The sequence below is a fragment of the Homo sapiens genome, chromosome 8 (assembly GCF_000001405.40).
Source record: "Homo sapiens chromosome 8, GRCh38.p14 Primary Assembly".
NCBI lineage: Eukaryota > Metazoa > Chordata > Mammalia > Primates > Hominidae > Homo > Homo sapiens.
The window spans coordinates 74,753,047-74,771,106 of NC_000008.11; the positions used below are offsets into that span (position 1 = coordinate 74,753,047).

General features: G+C 38.1%; 1 long non-coding RNA gene across 2 annotated transcripts in view; it reads left to right on the forward strand.

The window, feature by feature from the left end:
* Positions 1 to 5,306, forward strand: part of MIR2052HG (MIR2052 host gene) — a 158,596-nt gene extending 153,290 nt beyond the window's left edge. Inside the window, exon 6 of one of the 2 annotated variants that reach the window (NR_197229.1) lies at positions 5,065 to 5,304. This is a non-coding gene — a long non-coding RNA (MIR2052 host gene). Of the gene's footprint in view, positions 1 to 3,560 lie in introns of both variants that reach the window. The other variant, NR_033830.1, reaches the window with a different exon arrangement.
* The last annotated feature ends 12,754 nt before the right edge of the window (positions 5,307 to 18,060 follow it).

Genomic DNA, 18,060 nt, shown 5'->3' on the forward strand with positions numbered 1-18,060 from the left:
GGTAGGTATTTTTTAAAACACGTAAGTTGCTGAAAGACGTTCAGAAATACGAGTTTACTAGGTTAGCTCTACTAGCTAATCTAAACTCAAAACAACATAAAGTCAAAGTAATTCTAATGAGCATTTGGTGCATGGGTCCCAGATAAATGGATTTCTAAGTAAAAGTCAAAGCTACATTAAGTCTTCGTTACACCAATCCAAACAACTTTGCCTTTGAGTGTAGATGTGGGCTGCCACACAGGCAAATGTATACATTATATAGTCTTTGTTGCTAATATGTTAAATTAGATTTTTATTTTTACTATAGCATAGGATGCGTAACAGTGACCTTCATTTGATTTACATTTATTACAAAATAAATTGCATCAATATTTTAGAAGTGGAAAATCATAGTGATTCTCCAATTCCATACTAAGACTGAGAAATGTTTCTAGAAAGAGCTGTGAGATGACACTAAACTGACTGTGTTCTGTTACATTCCTTCGCATCGTGGCCAGACTTTTCTTCTGTCTTTGAGATACTTTTATTTGCCTCTCACTGAATTTACATCTCTCTATATTTCCCACTGTACCCAAGCTATTTTTTGCATTCTTCTTACCCCCAGGACTACCTGAAAGCCATTATTGCAGGTGCTGATTAGGAAATGTTCCATGGCCTCTCTCCAGGACCTTCATTCAATCATCTCCCATGCCCCTTCACTTTTTCTAATCCTTGCTCCAATAATTATTCATAATCTCCTTGCAATTTTCACCTCTTGTCTATTGACATATCATGCTGCCTAAAAACTATGCTCTTCTCTTAATGTGTTGCCTTCCATTCACCAATAAATTTATTAACATGAGAATTGTTAGTATCCTACCTATTGTGCTCTGACAATCTGACTCACTTATGTGCTGTTGAATTCTTCTTTTTCTGGAAAAATAATGTTACCAATAATGGGCTGATATCAAAGGGAGAAGCATCATAGATTAGTAGTTAGGACATGAGCTCTGAATCAGCCTTTGCTTTACCTGTCTCACTTTTTGCAGTATCTCGAGCAAGTTTCTATGCGCTGCATTTCCTCGTCTGTAAAATGAAGAACATAATAGTACCTACCTCATAGGGTGGTTCTGAGGCTTAAATAAAACAATACTTGTAAAACACTAACAGAGCACTCAGCACATAGGAAGCATGATAAGTATATGTTAAATAAAATAAATGTAATACTTATTTCCTCTATTATCCTCTCCATTGACCTCTTAGCAGCATTTAATAGTATTGATTACCACTTTAGAAAACTTTCATGCTCGGTGAAATTTTGCAGCCTGGCAAGTGGACTGGTGGAAAGCACAGAAGATCCAGAGTGTTAGGCACATTTGGTGGCCAGCTAGTGTTTAATTGAAATGTCTGATTTGGGGGCTCAGCCTAAGTAGAGTGACATGTAAAATGAGACTTGGAGCTATGAGTGTAGAACGTGGAATTTTGAGAATTTAGGGATCATTATGAGAATAGGTTCTATGGAAATGAGAAAAATGGTAGTTTAGGTGGAGAAGAAATGAATTGTGGTTGAAGAGATCTACGGCTGTGAAGCTCTTGCTTTAGAGTGGTTTTCAGCCCCAGACTACAGCTAGTGATGAAGGCGAGAAAGAGAACTGTGGGTCAGGTGCCCTTAGGGCACCCCTGAAAGTTAGACGCAAGGGGAAAGGAAGAGCAGCTACTGAGTTAGGTACACTTTCAGTCATTTCAGAGCCAATGCTTCCTGGATGATTTGAAGTTATTTATTTTGTCCCATTGTACCTGCCTTTTGGCCACTGAAATTTTTATTATTTACAACTCTCACTACAAACTAGGCAAAAGAAATAAATATTAGGGTGATCTGTCAATTTTAACAACCATTGCTATCTTAGGGTTGGCTGTTCTTTATTCTCATAATGTCCCAGTACGACATGTTGTGATTACTTATTCCACTTTTGGAGACAACTAGAGAAATGAAGAAGTCTGAATTAGGTCGTCCAGGGGACCCACAGCTGAATCAGCATGAGAACTAACAGTTCCTAACTCCCACCCGAAACTTTACATCTTCTAAATCATAATAGCTCCTAAGGGAAAATAACTGTGAACAGGTTCTAGAGATTGCGATTGTCTTCCAAAATGGAACTGATATTTGGGTTTTTTAAAAAAATTCAACACAATTTTATTTTGGTCTTTACAGTGACGTTTATATATTTACAGTTCATCTGCTGCTGAAACAGCAGTAGAATAGAGTCTTTGAAGTGATGGGTATGTGTGTATTGGCAGAGTTGAAGATAAACAATGCCAAAAGACCTCTAAAAAGATTAGACTGTTAACCACAAATACGCGGTTTCAGTTGAGAAGATTTATTTGTTGCTGACCATATTAGCCATTGTAGTTAACATTGGTTCTGGGAAAGTCATACTTTGGTAATGAGCCAGCAGGCTGTATTTGTAGAACTACAGTTGAATTTATAGGATGGATGCAGTGACATTGCAGATTTTCTCAACATCAAACAGTTAATGAAGTTACAAAATGTTCTGCTGGCTCTTTTCCTTTAAGCTTCTTTTTGGCGCTTCTAAGAGTTTCAACTGTCAGATGCACGGTCTTCCAGCGTTCTATCCATCTGTTTCCCTGTCTTGGTTCATGCGCTAAAATGTGGTGCTCATAAAACATGGTCCTTATGGACATGATTATGTTTGTCTGAGAACTCTTCAAGCGGCCACTTGAGATAAAAGATAATGGAACTAGGGATAGAAGTGGGTGTAATGGAATTGGAGTGGTGTCATGAGGTAATTGGCAGGTACAAATGGCCAATCACGTGGCTGGGTACTGATCTGAGCCCCTAGTCCATTTCAAGCCCTACTGGATGTATTGCAATTCAGTCCTGGAACTAACCATCTGGAGTTGGTGGTACAGGCTCTATAGGTTAAAGGTATGGTCTCCGACAAGGCTGCTCTTACTTCAGACACCAGCAGCACTGAGGTGGGGGGTCTCCAGACCACCTGCACTCCTGAAAGACTGACTATACGTTTTGGGGTTTTCATGAGCGCTTCAGTTCAATAATTTGCTAGAATGGCTTACAAAACTCAGGAAAGTACTATAATTAGAATTATAGTTTCATTACAAAGAATACAAGTCAGGAGTGCTAGCTAAATATGGGACACACAGAATGAGGTCTGAAATGGAATGCAAATTTTCTGTCTCCAGCCCCACTCCACTCCCCTGGAGTCAGGTGGCTGAAAGCCCCAAACTTCTAATTGTGTGGTTAGTCTTTCAAGGTGACTGTCCCCATTCTAAAGTTATCTAGAGGCCTACCACGAGTCCCCTCATTAGGATAATGTGGATGATCACTCATTAGGATAATCACCGTGAACATTCTGAGAATTTTTGGAACTCTGTCCCGTGAATCTGGAACAAAGACCATACAGATTCTTTATGATACCACAGCCCTCTCCTGCACTCTCTTATTTAAGGTTTACAGAAATTCTGTGAAATAGGTATTTTTCATCCCTACTTTTTAACATGAGAAAACTAAAGATCAGAAATGTAACATTTATATGCCCCAGGTCACACAGCAAGAACACAGCAGAACAAAGATTAGATCCCAGCTTGGTCTTCTTCAATGGTCATGCTTTTCCAGATACCTTAAAGAAAACCAAATGGACAGTGATTCTACACTGACAGATAAGCATGCTTATAATTGCTTGTTTGATATCTGTTTTTTCCCTGGTAGTTTGTAAGATGTGAAAGAAAAAATATGTGTTGCCTTTTCTGACAGCCACTCCCCCAACCCCAGCACCTAGTATATATTATTTTCTATTAGCTGTTAAATAAATACTTACCATATGAACAAGTGAACCTGAATAAAGCAGTACTCATTGGTCCTGGAGTGGATGAAATAGACTAGGGACTGGCCAGCTAGAAGGATCAGGGACTCCCAAATATGTAGCATTTTTAGTTGGTACTGAATGTGTGAATGAGATGGGTAGCTATGGCATCCAGGCTAGGTGAAGTCAGTTATAGGCATGGATGTGGAGGACTCTGTGGGAGGGAAAGAGTGAGTGGTTCAGGGCACTGGAGGTCATGCAGAGATTTGATGCTATGAAAAGCAAGTTGCACCTGTGAGAGTGTCATTAGGTTAATAACACCCTCCTCTTCTGTCTGCCTCCCTCACAATCATGAGGCTTGGAAAAGTGAGGGATGGAAGTTATTATCTAGGAGCTTGTTCACTGCTGCCAAAAATAGTTAGCTTTATTATGAGCTCTTGTACTGGCTTCAGACAGAGCCTTTGGGCATCATGGGAGTTACTGCTGCTTCCCTTGGGAACTACTGTCACTGCCATGGGCATCTGCATCTGAGAAGCATTCCTTCTCTGTGACAATTATCATAGTAACTTTTGCCCAGCAAGTTGGCTTTTCTGGATGTGTTAATGATGGTAATAATGATAATTGCTAAGATTATGAATGTCTTGCATGAATTATTTCATTTAATCCTCACAATAACCGAATGAGGCAGAAACAATTTTGTGTCTTTTTTACAAATGGGGAACTGAGATTTGGGGAAGTTAAATCATTTGCCAAAGTCATTTGTTCAATGATGAGTAGTCTCAAAATTTTAACCCAAATCTAATCAACATATTGTAAGATTGTTACAGTAAGAATGTTATTAGAACATCCTGAGAAAGAGCTGATATACATATTAAAGAGTCCTTCATTTTCGTGATGCCTACTCCTTGCTTGGGTGCAAGGTTATTTCTGCTTGTTGATTCTGTCCCTTTGAAAATCAGATTTTAACCTCTAGCCTGCTAGTTCCTTTGTGGGGAAAAATGATTATTGCTGTTTTCCAAAATACCAAAAAATGTCAGCCCAACCGCCTGAGTTTAATCAGATGTTTAATCTGATATAGCATCTGCATAATGACACCACAAAGAATAAACAAGAAGATCGGGACTGTGTCATAAATATTGATTCTTCTATAGTCAGGGCCTGCTGACTTTCATATAAAACTTTTTATTTAATTAAATCTATTGCAAACAATGCAGCAAAACCTTATTCTAGTTTTATCTTTCAGAATGTTGAAATAGTCACAGCCCATGGAATCAATGTTTTGGGTAAGATTTTTTTTAATGGAATTCTGTCTCTATTGCTTTAATTTCTTTAATCTTTCACTGCATGAAAAATACTCTAATATCTTAAAATTTCATGTATTTCCAGCCTAAAAATAACATCTATTATAGATTTTCCTCATTTTATTGTGTAAATGTAGATAAGCATAAAGAAGAAAATAAAAATTGTCCAGAAAGAACCACAATTAAAATTGTCCTGCATATTCTTCCATTCTTTTTCCTATTCCTAAGTATGTGTGTGTGTGTGTGTGTGTGTATAGCATAGGTATGTATAGGTTTATATGCATATATATGCATATGTAACATCTATTAATATATTATAAAACATTACTTTTTTTTTTGAAACATGGTCTCACTTTGTCACCCAGGCTGGAGTGCAGTGGCGCGATCTCAACTCAATGCAGCCTCGACCTCCCGGGGTCAAGCTATCCTCCTGCCTCAGCCCCTCCAAGTAGCGGGACTACACGTACATGCCACCACATCCTGCTAATTTTTGTATTTTCTGTACAGATGGGGTTTCACCATGTTGCCCAGGCTGGTCTCAAGCTGCTGAGCTCAAGTGATCTTCCCACCTCAGTCTCCCAAATTGCTGGGATTACAGGCATGAGCCACTGCACTCATCCATAAAACACTACTCTGAATCTGCCTTTTTCTCTTTCCGTATTTTAAAATATCATTTAAAACACATTAATTCTATAGTAATTCAGCCACAGCACCCTTTTTGTCCAGTTATTTTCCACTGCAGTTTCCTGGTGGAAGATTGTGATTCACCAATCCCATTGCCTAGGAGACGCCCACTGGGATGGCTGAGATGGGAGGAAACTTCCAGGTAGTATGGCTTCTGTAGCCCAGCAATCTATATGTTGATCTCAGTAGAAGATTCTGTGGCTGGTGTCCTGCGCCAACATTGCTCTTTCTTTTTCCCTCACCATCTAGGTCACTGGGTCTCACTTGGGAGTGGCTTTCCTCCACAGGGGACATTTGGAAATGTCTGGATACATTTCGATTCCCATAACTGAGGGGTCTGCTACTGGCATCTAGTGGGTAGAGGCCAGTATGCTGAACATCCTATGACATCCAGGTTGAGAAACCTGGGCTAGGTGAATGGCACTATCACACTCCCAGGCTAGAAACACATTTAATTAGGCAGTAGATCCTGACAGTGCCTATGATAAAATTTTTATGTGCATTCTTGTAGTTTATTGGGTGCTTTCTAGGTGTAGACATTTTCTTTCTCCACTTCTTTCTCCTCTCAGCTTTTTTTTTGGACAAAGAATCGTAGCCTGGAGCTAAAAGTACATTGGTCTTAGCTGTTTTGTGCCTTAAGCCAAGAAGGAGGAATCCTGAGTTCTGTATGGCAGGTTCCTTCATGGGTACTCAACCTGGGAAATTTCCTGCTGATCTGTGGTGTAGGTATTGTTATTCTCAATTTCTAGATAGGCAGGATGGCCTAGATAACTAGCAGGGCCAGCATACAACAAAATGTGGGGACCCTTGTTCAAAATTATTAAGAATTTTAAGGTGGCAATGGCAAAGCATTAAACCAAGGCAAGTGCCCTTCAAAGCTCAGCATCCTATGCGATCGTGAAGATGTCAGGATCATGAAGCTGGCCCCAGATATAGGTAAAGTGTTGTTTAAATAAGTTGAGTGACTTGCCTAAGGTCACACATTCAGTGAAGGGCAGAGTAAATCTTGGAATCTGTGCTTTTCTGACTCCAAAGCCAATATTCTTTCTACTGGACCTCTTTGCCCCCTTCTAGTAGGAAAAACAATTGACAAACTTTCTTCTTTTGTTATCCTACAGCCTAAAAGCTTTTCAGATAAGTATATTGCTTATATTAGTTGGAACTTATTTTCTCATCAAGATCTGGTTATAATTGTCCTAATCCTAAACTGTATAGGATTTGCCAGATCTTTCCTGGTTTGTACAGTTCCCAAACTTGCTTCCTCATATTTCCTTCTGCCTCCAGGTGTCAGTGTCTATACAGGAAACCCAATATACCAATCTCCCACAAATCATGAATTTGTGAACCCAAACATTAAGAGTAGTTAGAGGAATTAAATGATTTAGAACATGTAGTGGACTTGGTGTAGTACCTGCCTGGCACATGGTAAATGCTTAACAGGTATTAGCTATTATTATTGGTAATTAATATCTAGCGATCAAATCTCAGGCTACTAGACTTCCACCATGTCTGCTTCTGTGAGCCCTTTTCCGTGGTCCCCTTCATTCTTGGGCTCAACAGAGCATCTTTCCTTTGACTAGTGCAGGGCAGGCTTATCCCATTTCACTCTTGCATCCATTAAATTATTTCTCCCAAGTAAACCTAGTTTCCTTGCTAAGAAAATTTCAGCTGAATAAAACACTTTTCATTTTATTACTCATGACACATCTCCCCTGTGCCCAGAAAATAAGTGGGAAAAAGATCCCAACAATACACAGATAATTTTTCTCCCTTGAAATTTTTTTTCCAGAGTAATCCTTTTTAATTTTTCTTGAGCTAACCTGCATTTACATCAGCTAAATTACCAAATGTCAAAAATTTAATTTACTATTATGTACATTTATAAGATGATACTACTGTACTGGCCACCCTCAGTAAAGCCTGAGTTTCCTTTTTCACTGAGTATGATTAATTTATATCATTTATTAACATTACATTAATTTACATCATTTCTTTTACAATTTCTCATTTGCTTTTTCTTTTGAAGAAATTTTGAAATCCATTGATAGCCATAGCCAATGCAGCAATAGCACTCAAATTTAATACATGCTTACTGTTGGCAATTTGAAAATCCAGAAAGTAAAAATTAAAACTGCACTTAACCATTTTACTAAAAGAATTTCACTGTTCACATTATTGAGTATGGCCTTTCCAGTGTTTTTTTTTTAATGTATTATATTGTACTGTATGTTGTAGAAAAAGGATATTTTAAAATCATGGTGAATTAGCTCTAGGAAGAATCTACCTAATCAGATTCCCGGTGGAAGTAGGTGAGATTTTTGTTTCCTTGTATCCTCAATTTACTTGCTTTTTAATACATCTTTTTAGTAGTTGTTAAATATTTTATTCAGATTTTAAATAAGTGTGTGTATAGTTAAACATTTAGTTGATAAATCAACTATTATCACATATTTAGATAAACGTTTCTCAAAATATGATTGGTTTATCAGAAAAACATATTTCTGATTAGTAGTTTAACATGGTCATATTCAACAATAGCATAAAATTGCAGAAGATTCATTAAAATGTTTATGTACTTTTAATACCCTCTAACTTTCCCTGCTTTTCCTATGTCAGCAGAATGGCTTCCTTCATGGTCCTGGAAAAATGCTCAGAATGTGTGACTTAACAGTGACTCAGGCATTTTAGTTCAGCTCAGATAGTATTCATTCCTTGATGGATAAAAACAAAAGAAAAAGCTATTCTTTGGCTAAATAACACAATCCTCTCTATTATTCCAGTCTCTACAGATTGCTTGAAAAGTGCAGCATATTTGGAATTGCTTTCCTAAGAATTAAGCATGAACAAACAAGCCCACACCATTCTACAAAAAAGTTCTGATGGTGTGTAGCAGGTCAAGAAGCAAAAGCAGAGGAGGCCAAGGGAAAGGTTAGAGAGGGAGAGAGGAGAGGATTCCTGGGGTCTCCTATGGGCATGTCCTGACTTCAGAAGCCCTTTCAGGACACAGACATAACTGTCTTTTCTAACTGAGTATCTTAAATAGGCCCCTCCTTTCTCTTTCCTTTGTTTCCCTAGGTCTATGACTTTTCTATGCCATCAATAGCAACATCACTATCATTACAATAATATGTATAACTATATCCACTATTTATTTAGCTATTTACAATCTCTAAATGTCATATATTTAAATTACCTTATAACTAACATTAGTATTGTTTAAGAAACATTTCTTGAGTATTTATTATGTGCCAGAAACATATTATTTCAGATTTATTATCTCATACAGTCCTTAGAATTATTTAATTAGGTGGTTAATCTTATTTTCCTCATTTTACAGGTAAAGAGACTGAGACTTAAAGAGGCAAATTATATTTTCCAAGATCATATGCCAAGTAATTGGCAGAACAGAGAACCAAACCAGAATTGCTTATTTGATTCTATGTTCTTAAATGTTTATGAAACTGAAAAAAAGTGTAAATTGTGTGATAATGGATTGCACAAATAAGTATGAACAGATGCATTCTAGATGCATTAACATCTATATGCATTAACAAACATTTACTGAAGGTTTCCGTCTGCTACCAAGCACTAAGCTACAAGGAGGGAAACACAAAGATTAAGAAAATATGTACTTTGGAGCTCTCTCTGTCAAAAAGATGGGGAAACTCTCCTCAATGATATGTTAAACTTCCTTCAAATCAGCCAACTTTTATTGAATATCCACAAAATACAAGATACTGTGCTAGACATTGTGAGAAATACAAAAATACGTAAGAAACAGTCTTTCCTCTAGGAAGCTTGCAGTAAGATGAGAACTGAATTCTCAAGGCTGCCTAGTATAAGTACCTAGACGAAGTACATGGTCCTATGAATTAAACACAGAGGGAAAGAAAACTTTTTTCTTGAAGAGTTCAGCCAGTGTGTAGCTGTGCTTCTACAGTGAATCACCAAAAATGTACAGGAAATAAGGCTGACAGTAATTCTTTCAATTTACCAAAGCCATAAATTATGAGTGATTTTAGTATAGTGCAAGCAATATAAGTCACTCTCCTTAAAGGATGAACTAAAACTACCAGAGTGGTCCAGGATCTGAGAAACACAAATAATCAAAGGGATATAGTTGTTTTTGGTACAATGACGGTTACTATTAGTGGAACATAAGGCCTTAAAGGAGAATACCAAGAAACCCAGCAGTGCATCCTTTGAAAGGTCCAAGGGGTATGATAAGGTGAAGCTTATTGTTCAGTAAGGTATATTGTATGCTAATCCTATTTGGGACTTTTAAAATAGAAGACAATGCTTTAAACTTGAAGAAGATAAACAGGATAAATAGAATAATAATGACTTGTATAGTATATGGTAAACATATAGATCTTGTTGTCCCAGAAATCTGTAATGTCAAGAAACTATGTAGAACAGTGGTTAAGAACCTGAGTCAGATAAAGCCTGGAGCCTGGGATGGTTTGTGTAACTTACTATGTGATTTGGGACAAACAACTATGTCTTTCGGAGACTCAGTTGTTGTTGTCGTTTAATCTGAAAAGTTTAGAAAATAACACTCAGCCTATGGGCTCACGATGAGGCAATGGAGGAAAATGGTTAAGTGCAGAGCTTCCCCTTTCCTTCTCCTTTTCTTGCCCTTCTTTAAATCCCAGCTCAGTGGGTTTTGTTACTTTGGGTAAACAATGATACTTTTATGTTCTTTGGTATCATCCACTATTAAATAGTAGAGTTGACCTCATACAGTTTGGAAGGGTGATGAGGCCACATCATCTTGATACCAAAATCAGGCAGAGACACTATATTAAAAAAAAGAAAACTAAAGGGCAATATCCTTGATGACCATAGATGCATAAATCCTCAACAAAATACTAGCAAACTGAACCCAGCAGCACATCAAAAAGTTAATCCACCAAGATCAAGTAGGCTTTATCCCTGGGATGCAAGGTTGGTTCAACATACGCAAATCAATAAATGTGATTCATCACGTAAACAAAACTGAAGACCCAAACCACATGATTATCTCAATAGATACCAAAAAGGCTTTCAATAAAATTCAACATCCTTTCATGTTAAAAACCCTCAATAAACTAGACACTGAAGGAACATACTTCAAAATAATAAGAGCCATCTATGACAAACCCACAGCCAACATCGTACTGAGTGGGTAAAAGCTGCAAGCATTCCCCTTGAAAACAGGAACAAGGCAAGGATGCCCTCTCTCACCACTCCTATTTAACATAGTATTGGAATTTCTGGCCAGAGCAGTTGGGCAAGAGAAAGAAATAAAAGGCATCCAAATAAGAAGAAAGGAACTCAAACTATCCTTGTTTGCAGATGACATGATTCTACACCGAGAAAACCCCACAGTCTCTACCCCAAAACTCCTTCAGCAACTTCAGCAAAGATTCAGGCAGGGTACAAAATCAATGTGCAAAAACAGTGGCATTCCTATACCCTAACATCATCCAAGCCAAGAACCAAATCAGGAGCACAATCCTATTCACAACTGCCACAAAAATAATAAAATACCTAGGAATACAGCTAAGCAGGGAGGTGAAAGATCTCTACAATGAGAATTACAAAGCACTGCTCAAAGAAATCAGAGATGATACAAACAAATGGAAGAACATTTTATGTTCATGAATAGGAAGAATCAATATCATTAAACTGGCCATACTGTCTGGGTGCAGTGTCTCACACCTGTAATCCTAGCACTTTGGGAGGCCAAGGCAGGCGGATCACTTGAAGCCAGGAGTTTAAGACCAGCCTGGCCAACATGGTGAAACCCTGTCTTTACTAAATATACAAAAATTAGCCATGCATGGTAGTGTGCGCATGTAATCCCAGCTACTCGGGAGGCTGAGGCATGAGAATCACTTGAGCCCAGGAGGTGGAGGTTAGTGAGCTGAGACCATGCCACTCCACTCCAGCCTAGGTGACAGAGGGAAACTGTGTTTCAAAAAAAAAAAAAAAAAAGGCCATGCTGCCCAAAGTAATGTATAGATTCAATGTTATTTCTATCAAGCTGCCAGTGACATTATTTACAGAACTAGAAAAAACTGTTCTAAAACTCATATGGAATCAAAAAAGAGCCTGAGTAGGCCAGTCAATCCTAAGCAAAATAACAAAGACAGAGGAATCAGATTGCCTGACTTTGAAGTGTACTATAAGGCTACAGTAACCAAAATAGCATGGTACTAGTATGAAAAAAGACACATAGACCAGAAATAAAGCCACACATCTACAACCATCCGATTTTTGACAAAGCTAACAAAAACAAGCAATGGGGAAAAACTCTCTATTCAATAAATGGTGCTAGGGTAACTGGCTAGCCATATACAGAATATTGAAACTGGACTCCTTCCTTACATCATATACAAAAATCAACTCAAGATGGATTAAAGACCTAGGAAGTACCATTTTGGACACAGGAACTGGCAAAGACTTCATGACAAAAATGCTAAAAGCAATTGCAACAAAAGGAACAATCGACAAATGAGACCTAATTCAAGAGCTTCTGTACAGCAAAAGAAACCACCAACAAGTAAACAGGCAACCTACAGAAAGGAAGAAAATATTTGCAAACTATACATCTGACAAACATCTCATATCCAGAATGTACAAGGACCTTAAACAAACATACAAACAAAAAATAACCCCACTAAAAAGTGGGCAGAGGACATGAACAGACACTTTTCAAAAGAAGACATGCATGCAGCCAATAAGTATGTAAAAAATCTCAATATCACTGATAATCAGAGAAATGCAAATCAAAACAACAATGTGATACCGTCTCACACCAGTCAGAATGGCTATTATTAAAAAGTAAAAACATAACAGGTGCTGGAGAAAAGGGAACAGTTACACACTGCTGGTGAGAATGTAAATTAGTTCAAATATCATGGAAAGTAGTCTGACAATTCCTTAAAAAGCTAAAAACAGAACTACCATTCGATCCACAATCCCATTACTGGACATATACCCAAAGGAATGTAAATCATTCTACCATAAAGACACATGAACATGTATGTTCATTACAGCACTATTCACAGTAGCAAAGACATGGAATCAACCTAAATGCCCATCAGTGGAAGATTGGATAGAGAAAATGTGGTACATATACACCATAGAATTCTATGAGGCCATAAAAAAGAATGAGATCATGTCCTTTGCAGGAACAGGATGGAGCTGGAGACCATTATCCTTGTGAACTAATGCAAGAACAGAAAACGAAATACCTCATGCTCTCACTTATAAGTGGAAGCTAAATAATGAGAACACATGGGCAGAAAGAGGGAAACAACAGACATTATGGCCTACTTGAGGAAGGAGGATGGGAGGAGAGAGAGGTTCAGAACAAACTCCACAAAACCGTTGAGTACTATACTTAGTATCCGGGTGACAAAATAATCTGTACATCAAACCCCCGAGTCATGAGTTTACCTATATAATCAAACATGCACATGTATTCCTGAACCTAAAATAAAAGTTAAAATATTAAAAAAAAGAATATGGGGGGATTACTTAATGAGCTAATGTGTACAATGTGCTTTCAGCAAGTGCTGGATATCACTTAGCTATTATCATCACAGGATTGCTGTGAAGATTAAAAAAAATAATTTTCAACAAAGTGCTTAACACATCGCTTGGTATAGAGTAACTACTAAATACATAAAAGTTATTATTGCTATTTTAAAATTCCATAAATAGACTCAAGTAGTGCTTTTATTAAAGTTAGAATACATTCCTGAGCAACTAACACTGATTGGCTTCTCTGTCTCTTTGACATACCCCTATTAATATAGAGGTTATTTTAATCACTGTTTTTCTCTTACCTCTGACATTACAAATCCATGGTTCTTTTTACCAGAGAAGGTATTAGAAATCAAGATTTGGGTGTTGGGTGTTTTGCATTAAATTTTAGTAAATTTTTTGAAAGTATTTTTCATTACCAATGTCATGTCTAAAACATAATATATGGTTGGATGATCAAACTAAGCATAGCATTTCTAATATTTTGCCCCTGCACTTTACACAATCTAATCTGGAATTATATCTACATCATCTTTCACGTGAGCATGGCTTCCTTTTCCTTTTTTTTTTTCTTAGTATTCTTGTTTTTTTGAGACAGTGTCTTGCTCTGTCACTCAGGGTTCAGTGCAGTGGCACGATCAAGGGTCACTGAAGCCTCAGCCTCCCCTGCTCAAGCAATCCTCCCACCTCAGCCTCCCGAGTAGCTGGGGCTGCAGGTGCACGCCACCATGCCAGGCTAATTTTTGTATTTTTAGTAGAGATGGTGTCTCGTCATGTTGCCCAAGCTGGTCTTGAACTCCTGGGCTTAAGAGGTCTGTCTGCCTTGGCCTCCCAAAGTGCTGGGATTACAGGCATGAGCCATTGTGCCTGTGGCTTCCCTTACTCCTGGAATTCACCTTAACAGATGATCAATGAACCATGTGTATTAAGTACCTGTTGTCTACCGAACACTACACATTCTGCTTTCCTGGAGCTTGTAGCCTTGTGAGAAAGGGTATTAAATAATTTCCTTATCCTCCTCCAACAAAAACATGCTATAAAAAAGAAGTAGAAGAGGCTGGGGACCAACCCTGGGAGACCTAACCTCATCTGAAGAGTCTGTGAAAGCTTCTCTGCAAATGTAAAGTTAAATTTGAAACCTGACCCATGAGATGGTTGAAAGTCCTGCAGACAGAGGGGAGAGTGCTGATGCAGGGAAAGGACCTGGCGTAAACTTCATTTTTATCAAAGTACAGACATTCTCCAGACCTGTCTCACACTCCTGGGGGAAACATCTCTGGGATTCATATTTTGTTGCAGATGCTTCCTTTATTTTCCAAATCCTCCTAGAGACAACTCCCGAAACACCACTTTTACTTGTCCTCTTCTTTCTCCACTTGATTTGCATTGAATTTTTAAACAGACTTTATTTTTTAGGTTTACATTTAGATTAGTTTTAGATTTGTAGAAAAATTGAGAAGATATCATAGTTTCCATATGTCCATATGTCCTACACCCAGTTTCTCCTATTACTAACAGCTTACATTATTAGTAGTATGGTACCCTTGTTACAATTAATGCATTGATATTGATAGATGATCATTAATTAAAATTCATACTATATTCAGATTTCCTTAGTTTTTACTCAGTGTCCTTCTTCTGTTCCAGGATGCCATCCAGGATTCCATAGCACATTTTAGTTGTCTTAAGCTCCTCTTGACCGGGACAGTTTCTGCAACCTTTTTTGCTTTCAATGACCTTAACGGTTTTGAAGAGAATTGGTCAGGTGCTTTGTGGAATGCCTTTCTTTGGAATTTATCTGTGTTTTTTCCTCAAGATAGAACTGGAGTTAATGTGTTTTGGGGAGAAACACTATAGAAGTAGCATTAGTCAGTGTTCTCCAGAGGGACAGAACTAATAGGATACATATATACATGAAAGGAGCTTATTAAAGAGAATTGATTCACGTGATCACAAGGTGAAGTACACAATAGGCCGCCTGCAAGCTGGGGAAGAAAGAAGCCAGTGGTGGATCAGTCTGAGTCCAAAAGCCTCAAAAGTAGGGAAGACAACAGTGCAGCCTTCAGTCTGTGGCCAAAGGCCCCAGAGTCCCGGAAAGCCACTGGTGTAAGTTCAAGAATCCAAAGGCTGAAAAACCTGGAGTTTGATGTCCAAGGGCTGAAAGCATCCAGCACCTGAGAAAGATGAAAGCCGGAAGACTCAGCAAGCCAACTTATCCCACCTTCTTCCTCCTGCTTTGTTCTAGCCCTACAGGCAGCTGATTGGATGGTGTCTACCCACATTGAGGGTGGGTTTTCCTCTCCCAGTCCACTGACTCAAATGTTAACCTTCTCTGGCAACACCCTCATAGACACACCCAGAAACAATGCTTTGCCAGCTACCAGCTGTCTAGGTATCCTTCAATCCAATCAAGTTGACACCTAATATTAACCATCACGGAGGTAAAGTGCCATTTTCACCACATCATATCAGAGGGTATGCTGATAGCATCAACATAACATCACTGTTGATAATGACTTTGATCCTGGCTATGATAGTATTTGCCAGTTTTCTCCATTGTAAAGTTACTAGATTTTGCCCTTTCCATAGTGTATTCTTTGGAAGGAAGTCACTGTGTGCAGCACAAACCAAGGTAGTGGAGAGTTATGTGCCCCCTTCTTGAGGGCAGAGTATCTATGTAAATTATTTGGAATTCTTCTGCATTTATTAATAGAGAGTTTATTTATATCAGTATGAATTCATGGATATTTATTTTACACTTTGGGTCATAATCCAGTAAAAATCTCTTTATTTCTTTTTTCAAATTATACATCTTGGCCATTAGAAACTTTCAGTTGGCTTCTCTGTCTTTTCGACATACCCCTATTAGTATAGGTTTTGGTTTTTTTTAATCACTGTTTTTTTCTTACCTCTGGCATTACAAATTCCTGGTTCCTTTTTATCAGAGAAGGTATTAGAAATCAAGATTTGGGTGTCGGGTGTTCTGCATTGAATTTTCATAAGCTCCAGCTAGCATCCTCATGAAAATAGTTGCAGGTCCAAGTGCAGAAAGCATAAAAGAAAGCAGAGCTGTCTTAATAGAAATCAGGCAAGGAGCCTAAAATAAATGTCATAAGCCTATCTACTCTTTTCCATTGTTGTTTGGTTGGTGTTAGTGGTGGAGCTTTGTGGACAGAAGCTTGTGTCCTTTTTACCCCAAATCAAGAGTTCCATGCCAAAGACCAGAGGGTGTGAAATTTCCATGGATATTCACTAGAGTGTTCAGATAGGATGAGAAACACAATCTAGGTAAGATAAAGCAGTTAGATGCAAAAATCAAGGGACCAATCCAGAGAACATGGGTCACAGAACTATGAAATTGAGGTCGAAAATGAAATTTTAAGGTATAAAAAGAGAAATACCAGAGCTGAAAATGCTACGTGTTATACTGAAATAAAGAGTGATCTGAAGAGGAAGAATGAATGAGAAAACAAAAGGATGAGATGTTAGAGTAAGTACAGAATGAGTCAAATAAGGACATTTTGAAAACCATGTAGGGGGAGAGAGTGGTGAAATTAGAACCCTCTCAGCAATGCAGGATCTGTTGTCTAGTTAGGTTAACCTATTGATATGGGGAATGAGTAAGAAAAATCCAGCTGGTAGATGGGAGGGAAGGAGGAGCCTAGAAAACTCATAGCGTGGGCAAGACTACTACAGGTTCATGGACAAATTATGTTTTTTGGACTAGTGATATTTGCACACAATCTTCAAAGCTAAAGTTAACGTTTTAATAGACGTCTGTCTCCGTTGAATTTAGATAATAATGCTGCAATTTCTTTTCTAACACATACTGTATTTATGGCTTTGTAGCACTTACCCAGTAGAGACATGGGATGTATTTACTGAGGTTGCTGAAGCTTTTCAGTAATGAACGAGCTCCATTAAATAATTATTTCTCAAACTTGAGTTTATAGAAGTACAGTCTTTGAGAATTTGCTGTCATCCCTATATTCTTAACTGTAAATGTTTTGTGTGAAAAGACATTTTTAATTGGTAGGTACTACATCACACACTTTTTTAAAATTCGGATTTCTGTGAACTCTCAGGGTTTGTGTTTTCTGTGCAGCAGCACAGTCATTATAAATGACTCTTCTTGCACTTGATGCACTGACAAATATCAGTTTTCAGCCCCCAGAGAAATTTAGCAGATTTGTATTTCCTAATTTGGAAGAAACAGCTTACAAGTTACGATAGCATGTATCTGTCAAGAAAAATTCCAGGCTCAGGTTTTCACTTTTCTTTTGCAGTGAACATTAGAAGTCAAGACACTGGCTCACCAAAGCAGGCCAAGTGACCTACAGCTGCCAGTGGTATACCTCTACATCCAGAGAGTTTAAGCATTTGGGCTGTGCCATCACTGGAGTCTTGCCGAGGATTTTTGGTTTGGTTTGCAGTTTGGACTGTTTTCACACAGACTCTGGCATAGAATATTGCTTTGTTGATGGCAGGGCATATAGAGCTAACTCTGGCTCCTGTTAATTTTTGTCATGTAGGAGACGACGCTAGCATGTAATTTTGATATGAAGAATATTGACTGGCAAACTTCCTCACTTGGCACCATACTGTTTACACTTGTAAATAATTAGAAAAAAATGTTAAGGTAACAAAGTTAGTACTGTATTGGGAATTGATGGGTTCTTGGTCTTGCTGACTTCAAGAATGAAGCTGCGGACCCTCAT